The sequence below is a fragment of the Homo sapiens genome, chromosome 16, assembly GCF_000001405.40.
Source record: "Homo sapiens chromosome 16, GRCh38.p14 Primary Assembly".
Classification (NCBI taxonomy): domain Eukaryota; kingdom Metazoa; phylum Chordata; class Mammalia; order Primates; family Hominidae; genus Homo; species Homo sapiens.
Genome location: NC_000016.10, coordinates 74,642,551 through 74,660,087, shown reverse-complemented (window position 1 = coordinate 74,660,087; position 17,537 = coordinate 74,642,551). Strand labels below are relative to the sequence as shown.

The 17,537-nt window shown below is 42.6% G+C and overlaps 1 protein-coding gene across 15 annotated transcripts in view; it reads left to right on the top strand.

The window, feature by feature from the left end:
* The window catches only part of RFWD3 (ring finger and WD repeat domain 3), a 45,479-nt gene that overhangs the window by 6,790 nt on the left and 21,152 nt on the right, over nt 1-17,537 (top strand). For 10 of the 15 annotated variants that reach the window (NM_001370534.1, XM_011523191.4, NM_001370536.1 and 7 more), the window contains 4 exons: nt 7,966-8,168; nt 10,886-10,956; nt 15,353-15,547; nt 15,635-15,726. In NM_001370534.1, the coding sequence (NP_001357463.1) occupies nt 7,966-8,168; nt 10,886-10,956; nt 15,353-15,547; nt 15,635-15,726 (561 nt within the window). Of the gene's footprint in view, nt 1-7,965; nt 8,169-10,885; nt 10,957-11,009; nt 11,132-14,423; nt 14,598-15,352; nt 15,548-15,634; nt 15,727-17,537 lie in introns of all 15 variants that reach the window. The other 5 variants (NM_001370537.1, NM_001370542.1, NM_001370539.1 and 2 more) reach the window with 5 other exon arrangements.

Sequence of the window (17,537 nt, the reverse complement as noted above, 5' to 3'; positions counted from 1 at the left end):
CTCTTTCTTCTTGTTTTTATTATTGTTATTTTTGAGACAGGGTCTCACTGTGCTCCCCAGGCTGGAGTGCAGTGGTGCAATCACAGCTCACTGCAGCCTCGACCTCCCCAGGCTTAGGCGATCTTCCTACCTCAGCCTCTTGATGATTAACTGGGACTACAGGCATACGCAACCATGCCGATGTTTTCTAACACTGTGAAAATATTGAGATGATACTAAAAAGTGGTAGCTAGGTCATCTATTACCCATGTTTTACAAATGAGGAAGCTGATGGGATAATTTGTGATTTGGTTGTGATAAGGCTGGAATTGGAATTGTGCCTTCTGTATCTGGATTCAGCATTCTTTTTCATGGATCCTGCTGATTTTAATGTTGGGGCTTGCCATGACTGTGGCTCCAGTGTCTGTAGTGCCCATCAAGGATGACAGATGCCTAGTTCTGTGTTGACAAGAGTTGCAAATGCATATTACTCTGGGTTTTTTTTTTGTTTTTAAGACAAGAGTCTTGCTCTGTCACTCAGGCTGGAGTGCAGTGGCGCAGTATCAGCTCACCAGGACCTCTGGCTCCCGGGTTCAAGCGATTCTTGTGCCTCAGCCTCCTAAGTAGCTGGGATTGCAGGCGTGCACCAGCAGGCTTGGCTATAGTCTGTTGTTTTAAGATGTCATTACTCACGTTATAAAGGCAGGGTAAGATTTCATACATTTGTGTTATAGGTGAAGGCACCTTATGGTGTAATTTGGGGACCCTCCCAAAGTAAATGGGCTAACTTTCCATGGTTGAGAGTTGTGAGTGGTGTTTCCAGGAGCTGGCTGACTGTCAGGAGGCCTCTTGCAAGTCCTCAGTCTTGCTTATCCATGCACTCATTCTTGTTGGGGGACGCAGAGTGGATTCCTCTTGGTCAAGCACAGTGACTTGTATTAACCAACTTAAGGGTGACACTTATAAACCAGATGCCAACTTACAAAGAAAAACAGAACCACTAGAGAGCCAAACAGAAGCCAAACTCTAGTGAGAAAATTGCTTGATGTGGCTGGGCATAGTGGCTCACGCCTGTAATCTCAGAACTTTGAGCGGCCAAGGCAGGCGGATCCCTTTAGGCCAGGAGTTCGAGGCCAACATGGTGAAACCCCATCTCTACTAAAAATACAAAAAATTAGCCGGGCGTGGTGGCACACACCTGTGGTCCCAGCTACTTGGGAGGTTAAGGCATGAGAATTCCTTGAACCTAGGAGGCGGAGCTTGCAGTGAGCCAAGATCTTGTCACTGTAATCCAGCCTGGGTGACAAGAGTGACTCTCTGTCTCAAAAAAAAAAAAAAAAAATTATAGAATCTGCTCAGGGAATGAGTTATACAGAATTTAAATGTTGAAAGATGTCAGTCAAGCTATTTGGCAGCCATAATCTGTCTCCACAAAGGGAATAACCTAAACGGTCAGGAAGTGTGCAGTTCAGTGGAAATTACATCAGTTCTGGAGCCAGGTAAATGTGATTAAAACTTTTTTCCCTGAAGTATGACCTTTCCCAGGACTAATCGCTTATAACTTCTGAATTTCTTGAGATGAATTTCTCAGTGTGGTGTTTGACATTTACTCATCTGACAGACTGTCCCTGGGCCAGGTGTTGAAAGCCTGGGCCAAGGTGAACAGCTTTTGACTCACAGTCAGCCAAGAAGCCAAAGCTATGGAAAGCTAAGTAGTGAGCTTATTCTTCCCAACAGGCTTAGCTGAGGTCACAAACTCCTTTCTGATTTGTTTGGGGCGGTTTCATTCTGGCAGTGGGGGTCATCACTCATTCATCAAATATTGATAACACTCCTCTGTGTGAGAGACTAAACTTTGCCCTAGATATATTGGTGAATAACACAGATCACAATATTGTTTTCCTGGAGCATACGGAGTCTAGGACTACAGAGAGTAGGGAAGGAGCAAAATTCAAAGTTGGTAAGTGCAGGGAAGGAGGAGAATTTCTTGGGTTCTAAATCTGTGCTCCCAAAGAGAAACCCTAGCACTGCTTCCTGTTGGTTTTCACAGTTCCCCTTTCCTGTGTTCTTGCCTGACTTTGGAAATTCTTTGCTACATAAAAGCAATATTAAAGAGTGATTTTTTTTAATCGTCTATCACTTTTTTACTGGGTTCTATGTAGAATTCTATTGATATACGTGTCAACACCCTAACTCTAGTATGTATTTGATTAAATCTTCTTATGAAATGCTTTTCTTATGTGTTTAGTCTCATGGTAGCTATAGCTGCTGTTCACTTAGAATCTCAAGAAATGGAGTTGGTAAACTTGCTTAGCACTGTCTAAAAAGAAAACCTGGCTAGGCGCAGTGGCTCACACCTGTAATCGCAGCATTTTGGGAGGCTGAGGCAGGCGAATCACCTGAGGTCACGAGTTCGAGACCAGCCTGGCCAACATGGTGAAACCCTGTCTACTAAAAATACAAAAATTAGTCGGGTGTGGTGGCGGGTGCCCATAATCCCAGCTGCTCAGGAGACTGAGGCAGGAGAATCGCTTGAACCCGGGAGGTGGATGTTGCAGTGAGCCGAGATTGCGCCACTACACTCCAGCCTGGGCCGCAGAGCGAGACTCCGTCTCAAAAAAAAAAAAAAAGAAAAAGAAAACCTGGGTGATGTCAGTGAAAATGGCAGAGTAAGGACCACAGAGAATTATCTCCATGGAAGTAGTGAAACAACTGGCAGAATTTGTCAGGATCAACTTTTTCATAATTCAGGAAACTGACCAAATGCTTATAGCAATCCAGGGAGTGATTATTAAAGAAAAACAGCCGAATCTCATTGAGCTCTATGGCATTCCTTATTCTTGTCACCTTCTCCAGCTCCTTGATAGTTGTGAAAAGCATCTGCCTGTAATCATAGTAAAAACCAACAGCCTGGCAGGCACCAGAGGGATTGGAGCACCTTCAAAGCCTCATTCCCAGAGAATTATCTTTATATGACCTGTTGGTGGTTCTCTGGAAAACCCCATTTGCAAGACTACTCTTGACTCTGAGCAATGCAGAGTGTGAAAAGCCTAAATCATTTTCCCTGGGGCCTGCCTGAGGTAATGGATATTCAGTGGGATAAGCAATAAACTAACCAATAAGAAGGAAAGGAAAATCTAGGAATGAGATCAATTCAGTCACATCTTCTAAGTCTAGTTCTCTTGCTGTTTCTAGCACATCTGCAGTTACTTTCTTAACTGAAGTCTTGAGCCCGGCAAAAGTCATCCATAAGAGTTGACATCAACTTCTTCTAAATTCCTGATAATGTTGATATTTTGGCCTCCTCCCATGAATCATGAATGTTCTTAGGGGCATCAAGGATGGTGGATCCCCAAGGCACAGTGGCTCATGCCTATAATCCCAGCACTTTGGGGGGCTGAAGCAGGCAGATTGCCTGAGCTCAGGAGTTCAAGACCAACCTGGCCAACATGTTGAAACCTTGTCTCTACAAAAAAATACAAAAATTAGCTGGGCATGGTGTGCATGCCTGTAGTCCCAGCTACTTAGGAGGTTGGGGTGAAAGGTTCCAATGAGCCAATATCATGCCACTGCACTCCAGCCTGGGTGACAGAGCCAGACCCTGTCTCCAAAAAGAAAAAAAAAGAATGGTGGATCATTTCAAGGTTTTCAATTTACTTTGTCCAGATCCATTAGAGGAATCACTGGCAGCTATCATCTTAAGAAATTAAAAAAAATAAAATAAAAAAAGCTTTTCCCCACAGCTAAGAGTCACAACAAAATATTTCTTTTCTTTTCTTTTTTTTTTTTTTTTTTTTTTTGGCAAGACAAGGTCTCACTCTGTTGCCCAGGCTGGAGTACAGTGGTGTGATCATGGCTCACTGCAGCCTCAACCTCCCCGGGCTCAGGTGATCCTCGATCCTCCTGCCTCAGCCTACAGAGTAGCTGGGACTAAAGGCACAAGCCGCCACACCCAGCTAATTTTTTCTGTTTTTTGTAGAGATGTTATTTCATTAAAGTACTGAGATTACAGGTGTGAGCCACTGTGTCTGGCCTTATTTCTTAAATAATAAGTCTTGAAAGTTGGGCTGCAGAATATGTTATATTAACAGACATGAAAATAACATTAATCACCTTCAGAGCTCTTGGTTTACTGGGTGCATTGTCAATGAGCAGTAATATATTTAAAGGAATCCTTTTTTCTGAATAGTAGGTTTCAACAGTGGGCATAAGTTGTAAGACATACTCTAAACAGATAAGCTGTTATCCAGGCTTTGTAGTTCCATTTAGAGAGCACAGACATAGGCCGGGTGTGGTGGCTCACGCCTGTAATCCCAGCACTTTGGGAGGCCGAGGTGGGCAGATCACGAGGTCAGGAGATGGGTGAGACCATCCTGGCTAACACGGTGAAACCCCGTCTCCACTAAAAATACAACAAATTAGCCAGGCGCCACTGCACTGCAGCCTGGGTGACAGAGCGAGACTCCATCTCAAAAAAAAAGAGAGAGAGCACAGACAGAATAAATTTAGCATAATTTTCAAGCACCCTAGGATTTTCAGAACAGTAAAAGAGCATCGGCTTCAGCTGGGCATGGTGGCTCATGCCTGTAATCCCAGGACTTTGGGAGGCCGAGGCGGGCGAATCACGAGGTCAGGAGATCGAGACCATCCTGGCTAACAGGGTGAAACCTCATCTCTACTAAAAATACAAAAAAAAAAAAAATTAGCCAGGCGTGGTGGCGGGTGCCTGTAGTCCCAGCTACTCGGGAGGCTGAGGCAGGAGAATGGCGTGAACCCGGGAGGCAGAGCTTGCAGTGAGCCGAGATCACGCCACTGCACTCTAACCTGGGCGACAAAGTGAGACTCTGTCTCAAAAAAAAAGAGCATCGGCTTCAACTGAAGTCACCAGCAGCATTATCCCCTAACAAGAGAGTCAGCCTGTCCTTTGAGCCTTGAAGCCAGGCATTGACTTCTCTGTAGCTGCAAAAGTCCTACGTGGCATCTTCCAATAGAGGGGTGTTTCATCTACACTGAGAATCTTTTTAGTGTAGATACTTTCATCAATTGTCTTAGCTAGATATTCTGGATAACTTGGTACAGTTTCAATGTCAGCGCTTGCTGCTGCTTCATGCACTTTATGGAGACAGTATCTTTTCTTAAACCTCATGAACCAGCCTCTGCTTTCTTCCAACTTCCTGCAGCTTCCTCACTTCTCAGCTTTCACAGAATTAAAGAGAGTTGGGGCCTTCCTCTGGATTAGGGATTCACTTAAGGGAATGTTGTGGCTGGTTTGATCTTCTTTCCAGACCACTAAAACTGTCTCCATATCAGCAATAAGGCTGTCTTATCATTCATGTATTCGCTGTTGTAGCGCTTAATTTTCTTCAGAAACTTTTCCTTTGCATTCACCACTTGGCTGTTTGGTGCAAAAGGCCTGGCTTCTGGCCTATCCCAGCTTTTGACATGCCTTCCTCACTAAGCTTAATCACTTTAGCTTAGTGATTTAAAGTGAGAGATGCCTGACTCTTCCCTTAATTTGAACACTTAGAGGCCATTGTAGAGTTACTAACTGGCCTAATTTCAGTATTGTTTTGTCTCAGGGAATAAGGAATCCCAAGGAGAGGGAGGGAGGGGAATGGCTGGTGGGTGGAGCAGTCAACATACACAACATTTACTGATTAAGTTCACCATCTTATATGGGTGTGATTCTTGCACACCAAACTTGTAAAAATTACATAACACACTCCTAAATAACAGAGGAACAAACAAAACCCAACACAGGCAGACAGAAAGAAATAATAAAGGTTAGCATATAAATAAATGAAATAGAGAATAGAAAAATGAGAGAAAATGAACGAATCAAAAAGTTGGTTCTTCTAAAAGATCAACAAAATTGACAGACTTTTAGCTAGACCAACCAAGAAATAGAGAAGACTCAAAATACTAAAATGAAGAATGAAAGAGAGGACATGACTACCAAATAGGAGGGGAAATGACTGCTTGTGGATACAGGGTCCCTTTTAGGTGTGACAAAAATGTTTTGGAACCAGATAATGGTTATGATTATGATTACATAACCTTGTGGTTATGCTAAAAAAAAACAACACTGAATTGAACACTTTTAAATTGTGGATTTTATAGTATATTATATCTCAATTTCCAAAAAAGAAAAGCAACTTGATTGCTATTTCTCCTTTTGGTTTACTGACATTTCTTTTTTTAAGAGGTCAAAAAATCTTCTGTCTATTGAGTTGGACACTGAGTAGTGTTTATTTTGTTCTAGTTAGCATTTAGTCAAAGCCCTAATTCATCAATAAATTGCAGCCAAACTATTAGGAATAAAATTTTTCTGTGTAAGCAGTCCTCAACAATGTTTCTGGGTAATAATCAATATTTTATTTAATGTCATAATTATTAAAACTTCTAGTAGGTCACCTGTCAGTAATACTTAGTTGCCCTTTTGTTTTAAATTTTTTTTTAATAGAGATGGTGTCTTACTTTGTTGGCTAGTCTGGTCTCAAACTTCTGGCCTCAAGCAATCCTCCTGCCTTGGCTTTCCAGAGTGCTGGGATTATAGGCGTAAGCCACCAAACTCAGCCATTTTTTAAATTTTTATTTTTTCTTCTTCTTTTTTTTTTTGAAGATGGAGTCTCTCTCTTGCCACCTAGGCTGGAGTGCAGTAGCACAACCATAGCTCGCTCACTCTCTGTGGCCTCAAACTCTCGGGCTCAAGTGATCCTCCTGCCTCAGCCTCCCAAGTTTTTTGGGTGTCATTTTTTTGTTTTTTTGTTGTTGAGACAAGTCTCACTCTGATACCCAGGCTGGAGTATGGGCACCATCATGGCTCACTGCAGCCTCAATCTCCCAGGCTCAAGCCATCCTCCCACCTTGGCCTCCCAAGTAGCTGGAACTACAGGAGCACACCACCATGCCTGGCTATATTGTGTATTTTTTGTAGAGATGGGGTTTCACCATGTTAATCAGGCTGGTCTCGAACTCCTAGGCACAAGCAGTTTACCCACCTTGGCCTCCCAAAGTGCTAGGATTACAGACATGAGTCATCGCAGCTAGCCTAATGTGTCTGTGTGTGTGTGTCCCTAGATCCTTCCTCAGGAACTCCTGGTTTTTAGTATAAGGTTTTATTAATTTGTCTGGGTGTGGTGGCTCATGCCTGCAATTCCAGCATTTTGGGAGGCCAAGGTGGGTGGATCATTTGAGGTCAGGAGTTGGAGACCAGCTTGGCCAACATTGTAAGACCCTGTCTCTACTAAATATAAAGTTTCATTAATTCTGTGACAAAAGTGGCCTCAAACTCCTCAGCTCAAACTGGAGTATGCCTTGTTATTCCAGGAGTTAGAGAAACTGAGGTACAGTAGTGGTTATTTTAAACTCAGCCAGCCAAGATATATTTGGAGTGTTAGATTTGGCCCCAGGTCTTCTCATCATTCTAAGTTATTTTGTTTGATGCCATATTATCATTTATGTTTTTTATCTTAAAACTAACATTATTTAAATTTTAAAAGAAAAATACTATCCTAAAATGAGAGATGAAGAAATTACAGAAGCCAGACCCTGTACTGTACTCCAAAATACCTTGGTCTGGGTGACTGCAATAGCAAAATCCCATGAGGCCATATTTGGGCAACAAAGCCCTTTTTCTTCTTGCTAACCCTCCCTTTTCAGCCACCTAATACCAGCATACAGATTGCTGAGTTTGTCCTTTAAAGATACTGACAATATGGCCAGATGCCAGTAAAATAGAATTAGCTTTTAACGGAAGGATCAAGCTCCTTTGTGGGCTAATGTAGCAGTGGTTGAGTGGTAAAAAATAATATCTAGGAGGCCAGTCTCCCCCCCTTATCTGCTATACCTGCTTCAGCTTTCAAAGGCAGCATTTAATGGCCTGGAGATGGGTTGAAGTGATAGGATTTACTTCAAATCACTATAGATTGTTTTTGTGATGATAGTTCATTGTACTATAATTCCGTTGTCTTTCTGTGTACATAGGTTGAGAGCACCATTGGATGCTTACTTTCAGGTGAGCAGGACCCAGCCTGACTTGCCAGCTACCACTTATGATTCAGAGACTAGGAATCCTGTATCTGAAGAGTTGCAGGTGTCTAGTAGTTCTGATTCTGACAGTGACAGCTCTGCAGAGTATGGAGGGGTTGTTGACCAGGCAGAGGAATCTGGAGCTGTCATTTTAGAAGGTCAGTATTTTACCCAGGTTTGGACTCACAAGGCTAACATCCATGAAGCTTAAATTTCGGAAGGCTAGAAACTAGATTTGTGCTTTGACACTTTCCCTTTTCTCCCCTAAATGTTGTGGATTCCTGTTTTATAGTATAGAGCCTTCACTGGCCATAATTATGTAGAGAGGATTTGATCTGACTTACAGCTTAATGTAATTTGTGACCCAGTGAGTTAGTCACTTTGTAGTGGCATTTTGTATTCTCTTTCACTTCTTCAGACATCTGAGAAAGTAGATTCTTTTTTTTCTTTTTTGAGGCAAGGTCTGGCTCTGTCCCCCAGTGACAACTGGAGTGCAGCGACAACAATCTCAGCTTACTGCAACTTCCGCTTCTTGGGCTCAAGCCATCCTCCCACCTCAGCCTCCCCACTAACTGGGACTACAGGCACACACCACCACACCTGGCTAATTTTTTAAATTTTTTGTAGAGACAGAGTTTTTCCATGTTGCCCCGGCTGGTCATAAACTCCTGAGCTCAAGAGATCCACCTACCTCAGCCTCCCAAAGTGCTGGGATTACAGACATGAGCCACTGCACCCGGCCTAGATTCTTTATTTAAAAGAAAAGTTTTGTAAATTCAGCACCCTGTCTAGGCTGACACTTTCAAGTCCTAGTATAATGTTATGTGTTATGCAAGTGGAACTTTATTTAATAGTCGTAGGCAGAGACCCCTAAAGTAGATGTCCTGCTTATGTTAAAAACTTTCTGATCCCCAGAGGGCGCTCTTTCAGTATATTTTACCACTGAAAGAATATTCTTGGATTATGAATTGAAATATAATAAATCAATGAAAATCTTTAAGTTCATATTTATATAATTTTCCAAAACCTCATTTATCACTATCGTAAGTTGTTAGAACCCCAACTAATTACTCCAAAAACTAGTAAATAAAGGGTCAGGAATATATTAATATTTTGCCTTCCTGTATAAACTGTATTTTGGACAATCAGATAGTTGATGAAGTGGGTTTTTTTGTTGTTTTTTTTTTCATTTGTTTTTTTTGAGACAGGGTTACACTCTGTCCCCCAGGTTGGAGTGCAGTGGCACGATCACAGCTCACCGCAGCCTTGACCTCCCAGGCTCAAGCGATCCTCCCGCCTCAGCCACCTGAGTAGCTAGGACTACATGTGCATGCCTCCACACCTGGCTAATTTTTTGTAGCTGTGGGGTCTCCCTATGTTGTCCAGGCTTGAAGGTTTTTTTAATAGAAAAATTTCAGCTAATTGCAGCAGGAACGATAGAAAAGTCATCATTTTGTGACCCCCAATTAAATTATATATCTAGGCAAAGATCATCAGTGGATCCTAAAACCATTAGGTTGCAGGGTTGATGGGATTCCTTTTAATACAGGGACCAGGGTGATACCACCTGAACCCATTGGTCAATCTTAGCATCTTAAAAAAATAGGACAGCAAGACCATATGTGCCTCTAATGTGCTGCAATCAGAAATACTCATGCCACTTAGGAAGTACTGTATACACACACACACCAGCCCCCCACCCCCATTGCCAAAAAAAAAAAAAAGCCCTGAATCTACTCAAGACTGTTTTCTAACAACCAGTTTGCATAGTTTGTAGAAACGGGGGTGGAGGAACAAGATAAATAATACCTCAGAGATGTAATCATTTAAATTAAAAATGTAGAACAGTCTACAAATGGAACATCTTTCTAGACCTAAATATATATGGAAATTTAACATATTGTGAAGGGAATATCTCAAATCAGTGGGGACAATTTTTAATGTTTTATGTAACAGTAAACCAACATAGTTTATGATTCCACTTACATAAAATGTCCAGAAAAGGCAAGTCTACAGAGATAATATTAGTGGTTGCCCAGGGCTGCAGATGCAAATGTGGATTGACTCTAAATGGGCATAAAGGATCTTTGTGGGCTGATAGAAATATTTTAAATTGGGTTATGGTGGTGGTTGCACAATGCTCAATTTATTATATATAAAAGTTAATTTCATGAAGAAGCAGTCAGCCAAATCCAGGATGTGTAGGACATTTCATTAGACAAATGACCTGACAAATCAATGACAAACAGAGGGGAAAAAAATGGGTGAGGGGGAATTGTAATAAAATGAAAAAGACTTAAGAGACATCACAAGCTCATTATGGAGACTTTTTTTGGATTCTGATTGCAATAAATCTGCAAAGAGCAGCTTTAAAACTATTGGGAAATTTTGAATATGAACTGGATGCCTGGATATTTAGTGGTATTGGAGGATTATTGTTAATATTGTTAGGTATAATAATTACACAGTGTTTATATAAAAAAAGAATTCTTATCAGTGTTGCAGAAGTTTTTGCAAGTATAATGACATTTTAAGGTTTGTTAAGTATTCCAACCAAAAGAAAATAATGGAATGGGGGCTTAGGTGGAACAAGATTGGCAAAATATTGATTATTTTTTAAATTGAGTGATGGGTACTTGTGGCTTAACTATACTGTTCTGTGTACTTTTATGTATGTTTGAGAATATTCAAACTAAATTTTTAAAAATAAATTCACTGATGGTACCTGGGGAAGTTGTCATCCTTTTTGCAGGAACACTGTCAGTTAGAAATGGGAAGCTGTAGTGAGTCAGGCTCTCTCCTGCTAGCTTCTCATACCTGACATATCTTATTTTGTATTTTACCTCTCCTGTCATTTCTGGAAATGACTTGGCAGAGCAACTAGCAGGTGTCTCAGCAGAGCAAGAAGTTACATGTATCGATGGAGGCAAGACCCTCCCCAAACAGGTAATATGAACATCATTTTAAAAAAATCTATTTATTTATTTATTTATTTTTAGAGACTAGGTCTCACTCTCACCCAGGCTAGAGTGCAGTGGTGCAGTCATAACTCACTGCAGTTTCAAACTCCTGGGCTCAAAGGATCCTCCCACTTCAGCCTCCTGAATAGCTGGAACTACAGGTAATGCCACCACACTCGGCTACATTTTTTATTTTTTGTAGACAGAGTCTCACTATATTACCCAGTTGGTTTCGAACTCCTGGGCTCAAGGTATCGTCCTGCCTCGGCCTCCCAAACCATTGAGATTGTAGTCATGAGCCACCATGCCCAACCTGAATATCCCCTTTTTTTTCTTTTTTTTTGAGACGGAGTCTCACTCTGTTGCCCAGGGTGGAGTGCGGTGGTGCGATCTCAGCTCACCACAATAACCTCTGCCTCCCGTGTTTAAGCAATTCTCCTACCTCAGCCTCCCGAGCAGCTGGGACTACAGGCACACGCCACCCCGCCCAGCTAATTTTTGTCTTTTAAGTTAGAGACGGGGTTTCACCATACTGGCCAGGCTGGTCTCAAACTCCTGACCTTGTGATCCACCCACCTCGGCCTCCCAAAGTGCTGGGATTATAGGTGTGAGCCACCGTTCCTGGCCTCTGAATATCCTTTTAAATAAAAGGTTTGGGTTTTTGGCTGGGCACGGTGGCTTACACCTGTAATCCCAGCACTTTGGGAGGCCAAGGCGGGTGGATCACCTGAAGTAGGGAGTTTGAGACCAGCCTGGCCAACATGGTGAAACCTAGTCTCTAACCAAAGTGGGGCTGCAGGTTAAAATGGGAAGCTTGCAGGCTTTGTAGGCAAGAGGTCCAGGTGTGGATCCTATCCCAGTTACTCATTATTTGTGTGACTGCTGTCTCTTAGATTTAAAAATGGGGAGGGAGGAGTATTGAGGATAACCTGTCCTGTCTAGCCAACAAGGTTAAGTATCAGTTGAAAAAATAGACATAAATGTGCTTTATAAATTATTAAGCACATTCGCCAGGTGTGGTGGCATGCGCCTATAGTCCTAGCTACTTAGGGAGTCTGAGACAGGATTACTTGAGCCTGGGAGGTCAAGGCTTCAGTGAGCCATGATTGCACCACTGCACTCCATGGCAGCAGAGTGAGACCCTGTCTCAATAAAAAAATTAAAATTAAAAAAAAATCAGGCAGAATATGGTTAGTAGGTGATAATTTTTATTTTTAAAAATAATGGGCTGGGCGCGGTGGCCCATGCCTATAATCCCAGCACTGTTGGAGGCCAAGGCGGGCGGATCACCTGAGGTCAGGAGTTCAAGACCAGCCTGGCCAACATGGCGAAACCCCATCCCTAGTAAAAATGCAAAGATTAGCTGGGTATGTTGGCAGGCGCATATAATCCCAGCTACTCAGGAGGCTGAGATAGGAGAATCGCTTGAACCTGGGAGGCAGAAGTTGCAGTGAGCCCAAATAGCGTCACTGCGCTCTAGCTTGGGAGACGGAGCACGACTTCATCTCAAAGAATAGTAATAATAATGTTGGCCGGGCGCAGTGGCTCACACCTGTAATCCCAGCACTGTGGGAAGTCAAGGTGGGTGAGTCACCTGAGCACAGGAGTTTGAGACCAGCCTGGCCAACAGGGTGAAACCCCATCTCTACTAAAAATACAAAAATTAGCCGGATATGGTGGTGCGTGCCTATAGTCCCAGCTACTCGGGAAGCTGAGGCAGGAGAGTCACTTGAATCTGAGAGGCGGAGGTTGTGGTGAGCCGAGATTGTGCCATTGCACTCCAGCCTGGGTAACAGACCAAGACTCCATGTCAAAAAAAAAATAAAAATAACACCTATACATCATTGTCCTCAGTATGAGTAATTTACATCTGCTGTGAATTCTTCCAATGTCAAAACATCATTTAACATTTTTTGCATATTTCTATGTGCTCTTTGTGTTTTTATTTGAGTCTGGCTCATTTTTCCCAGCTTAGTACATCTTGGAGAGCTTTCTGTTATCAGTACATAAAATTGAATCTTTTTTTTTTTTTGAGACGAGTGTCGCTCTGTCACCCAGGCTGGAGTGCAGTGGCATGATCTCGGCTCACTGCAGGCTCCGCCTCCCAGGTTCACACCATTCTCCTGCCTCAGCCTCCCGGTAGCTGGGACTACAGGCGCCTGCCACCACACCTGGCTAATTTTGTTGTTGTTGTTGTTGTTGTTGTTGTTGTTGAGACGGGGTTTCACCGTGTTAGCCAGGATGGTCTTGATCTCCTGACCTGGTGATCCGCCCGCTTCGGGCTCCCAAAGTGCTGGGATTACAGGCGTGAGCCACCATGCCTGGTCTCATCTTGTTCTTATTAATAGCTACGTGGCATTCCATCATACAAATAAATTTTGAGTTAATTCTTTTCTTTCCACCTCCTGAGTTCAAGCGATTCCCCTGCCTCAGTCTCCCGAGTAGCTGGAACTACAGGCACACGCCGTCATGCCTGGCTAATTTTTTGTATTTTAGTAGAGACGAGGTTTCACCATGTCAGCCAGGATGGTCTCGATCTCCTGACTTCATGATCCGCCTGCCTTGGCCTCCCAAAGTGCTAGGATTACAGGTGTGAGCCACTGCGCCCAGCGAATTAATTCTTTTTCTTATCATGTAAAGCATGGTTGGTGTATGGTGGCACACGCCTGTGTTGTCTCAACTACTTGGGAGGGTAATAATATTTTTTTTCTTTATATAAATCATGCTACACTGAACTTTTTTGAGACAGGGTCTCATTCTGTCCCTCATGCTGGAGTGCAGTGGCACAATCATAGCTCACTGCAGCCTCAATATCCCGGGCTCAGGTGATGCTTCTACCTCAGCCTCCTGACTACTTGGGACTGCAGGCATGTGCCACCACACATGGCTAATTTTTTAAATTTTTAACAGGGACAAGGTCTTGCTATGTTGTCCAGTCTGGTTTCAAACTCCTGAGCTCAAGGAATCCTCCTGCCTTGGCCTCCCAATAAGCTGGGACTGTAGGTGTGATTACTACACCTGGCCTGCTTGGAACAATCTTATATAATTATCTTAGAATATATTTGTGACTGGCTGGGCATGGTGGCTCACGTCTGTAATCCCTGCACTTTGGGAGGCCAAGGCGGACGGATCGCGAGGTCAGGAGATCGAGACCATCCTAACTAACACGGTGAAACCCCGTCTCTACTAAAAATACACAAAATCGGGCTTGGTGGCAGGCGCCTGTAGTCCCAGCTACTCAGGAGGCTGAGGCAAGAGAATGGTGTGAACCCAGGAGGCGGAACTTGCAGTGAGCCGAGATTCTGCCGCTACACTCCAGCCTGGGCGACAGAGCGAGAGTCTGTCTCAAAAAAAAAAAAAAAAAAAAAAAAAGAAAATATTTGTGACTATGATCATGGGCTGCATAATAGTTCAGTCTATGACAGACCACATGTATGATGGTTGTCCCATTAGATGATAATACCAGGCTGGGCGCAGTGGCTCACACTTATAATCCCAGCACTTTGGGAGACCAAGGCGGGCGGATCACTTGAGGTCAGGAGTTCGGGACCAGCCCGGCCAACATGGTGAAACCCACCACTGTGCTACAGTTGCCTACAGTATTTGGTACAGTAACATCCTATACAGGTTTGTTGTCTAAGTATGTAATAGTTTACACCGTCTAGGTTTATTTAAGTACCTCTGGGATCATTCAATGACGAAATCGCCTAAAGACGCATTTCTCAGAATGTATTCCCATTGTCAAGCAATGCATGACTATATATCCATGAGGTATCTCTAGCAGAGAGATTGCTATGCCAAAGGAAAGATATATGTGTTTTAATTTTCATGGATAATGCCAAATGGTGCTCCAGAAATGTGTGCCACTTTACATTTAAGGCAACAGTATATAAGCATGTCCATATCTCATTTACCCACAACAGTGCTTGGTGTCATCAGACATCAATTTATACCAGTCTGATAGATGAAAAATGGTCTCTTTAATTTGCATTTCTTTAATTATAAGCAAACACTTATTGACCATTGTGTTTTCTTGTAAGCATTTGTATCCTTTGTTTTCTTTTTTTGCCCTCTGGTACACATGAGTTAAATATTTTATAGCTGCTATTCTTTATATGGATAGCTGCTTTTCTTCCTTTGAGTGAAGGAAAAAGTATCCAAGAATTTTATAAGATTTAAGAGTAGTATAGTTTTCATAGCTTATATTTTGTGACATTGCATTCTAGAAAGAATGACAAGTGATTCATAGGTGTTACAAGTGTTCTGTAGCCCTTTTGATTGTATCATTTTTTTTGCACTTCTGTTAATTTCTTAGTTGCACATCTTCTTCAAGATTGATTTTACATTTTCTCTAATTTGAATATATTCTGCTTTCCATCTAGCCATCTCCCCAGAAGTCTGAGCCTCTGCTACCTTCTGCTTCTATGGATGAGGAAGAAGGGGACACTTGTACAATATGTCTGGAACAGTGGACCAATGCTGGGGACCACCGGCTCTCAGCATTACGCTGTGGGCATCTCTTTGGGTATAGGTGCATTTCCACGTGGCTTAAAGGACAAGTACGAAAATGTCCCCAGGTAAGGACCATAGGTAAGGACACATTAACATGTTAAGTCAGGCAGATTCCTAGAACCACTCTAATTATGTCCTATTGGGTTCTTTAGTGCAACAAGAAAGCCAGGCACAGTGACATTGTCGTCCTTTATGCCCGAACCCTGAGAGCTTTGGACACTAGTGAACAGGAGCGCATGAAAAGGTAGGTGGTAAGAGTATGCCTGGCTGGAATGTTCCCTTTTGGTTCATTGTAGGCACATCTGAAAAAGAAGTTATGAGTCACTCGTAGTGAGGTTTTACTTGACCTGTGACTTGGGATCTCTGGGGATCATTGGCAGTCTGTCTTACACTGTTATTTATAATTCATGTCTGATCATCTTCTTAAGGAAGTCTGCATCGTTTGCCTTATGTAGAGCATTAAACACAAGGATCTGGCACATTACTTCTGTTGCCATTTTTGCTTCTCATATCCCTGACCACCCCCCGCCACAGCAGTTCTCCATACAGAAAACTCATAAGTGAAGCTTTGCACATGCAGTGCAATGTAAAAAATTACCAGGATTTCGGAAGCACAAAACAGTTGCTAGGGCCGGGCATGGTGGCTCACGCCTGTAATCCCAGCACTTTGGGAGGCCAAGGTGGGCAGATCACAAGGTCAGGAGATCAAGACCATCCTGGCTAACACGGTGAAACCCCGTCTCTACTAAAAAATACAAAAAAATTAGCCGGGCATAGTGGCGGACGCCTGTAATCCCAGCTACTGAGGAGGCTGAGACAGGAGAATGGCGTGAACCCGTGAGGCAGAGCTTGCAGTGAGCCGAAATTGCACCACTGCACTCCAGCCTGGGCGACAGAGCAAGACTCCGTCTCAAAAAAAAAAAAAAAAAAAAAAAACAGTTGCTAGTAACACCACTCAGTATATGCTTCAAAAATATTAAAGAACATACACACCATTGAGAGAGAGGTACAGTGACATGGGTTCACACTTTACTGGTTTGGATGTACACAGGCAAAATCATTTTGAGACATCCTTGGAAATGTGTCTCTAAAGCCTTTGATCTAGTAATTGTTCAGGCATTCTAAAGAAACATTGAAGGCTGTGTACCAAGATTTACTTAATGAAACTTCATTTAGCATTGTTAAAAATCTAAGGCAAGGGGATTGCTTAGTTGAATGAACGGTGGTGTATGCATGAACAGAATACAATGTTGAAATGTGCATATGTTGTCCTGTGGAAGCATGTTATTAGTATGATTGCATTTTTGTGAACTAGAAAAAAAGTAAGGCTGGTGCGGTGGCTCACTCTTGTAATCCCAGCACTTTGGGAGGCCAAGGCAAAAGGATTGCTTAAGACCAGGAGTTCAAGACCAACCTGGCCAACATAGATCCTATCTGTATTTAAAATTTTTTTTAAAAGAAAGAAAAAAAGCTCTATAGGTAGTCACTGTACAGATTATTTTAGTTTTCTTCCTTGTTTTTACTCATTTGGTCCAACCAATGCTCACTTGTAGCGTTTTTAAATAATGGAAGATGTGTACAGAGAGGAATTTTGTTGAAAAGGCAAAATCTATACGTGTGGCTGTAATGGGTGATTATATTTAAAAACAATTCACTGATTACAATAAGGAATTAGTATACTCTCCAGCCTCATTAGAAAAAGTGAAGAGTTTCAAAATGCCGATACAGACTAATAAAACGAACAGCCTTTTACCCAATTTTATCAAATCTTAATGTTTTGCCATATTGCTTTGAGCCTTTTTGAAAATAAATAGGCTGGGTGTAGTGGCTCATGCCTGTAATCCCAGCACTTTGGAAGGCCGAGGCAGGAGGATTGCTTGAGACCAGGAGTTTGAGAGCAGCATGGGCAACATTGTGAGACCTTGTTTCTAATAAAAATGAAAAAAATTATCCGTGTGTAGTGGTACACACCTGTAGTCTCAGCTACTCAGGAGAGAGGATTTCTTGAGCCCAGGAGGTTGTGGCTGCAGTGAGCTATGGTCATGCCACTGCACT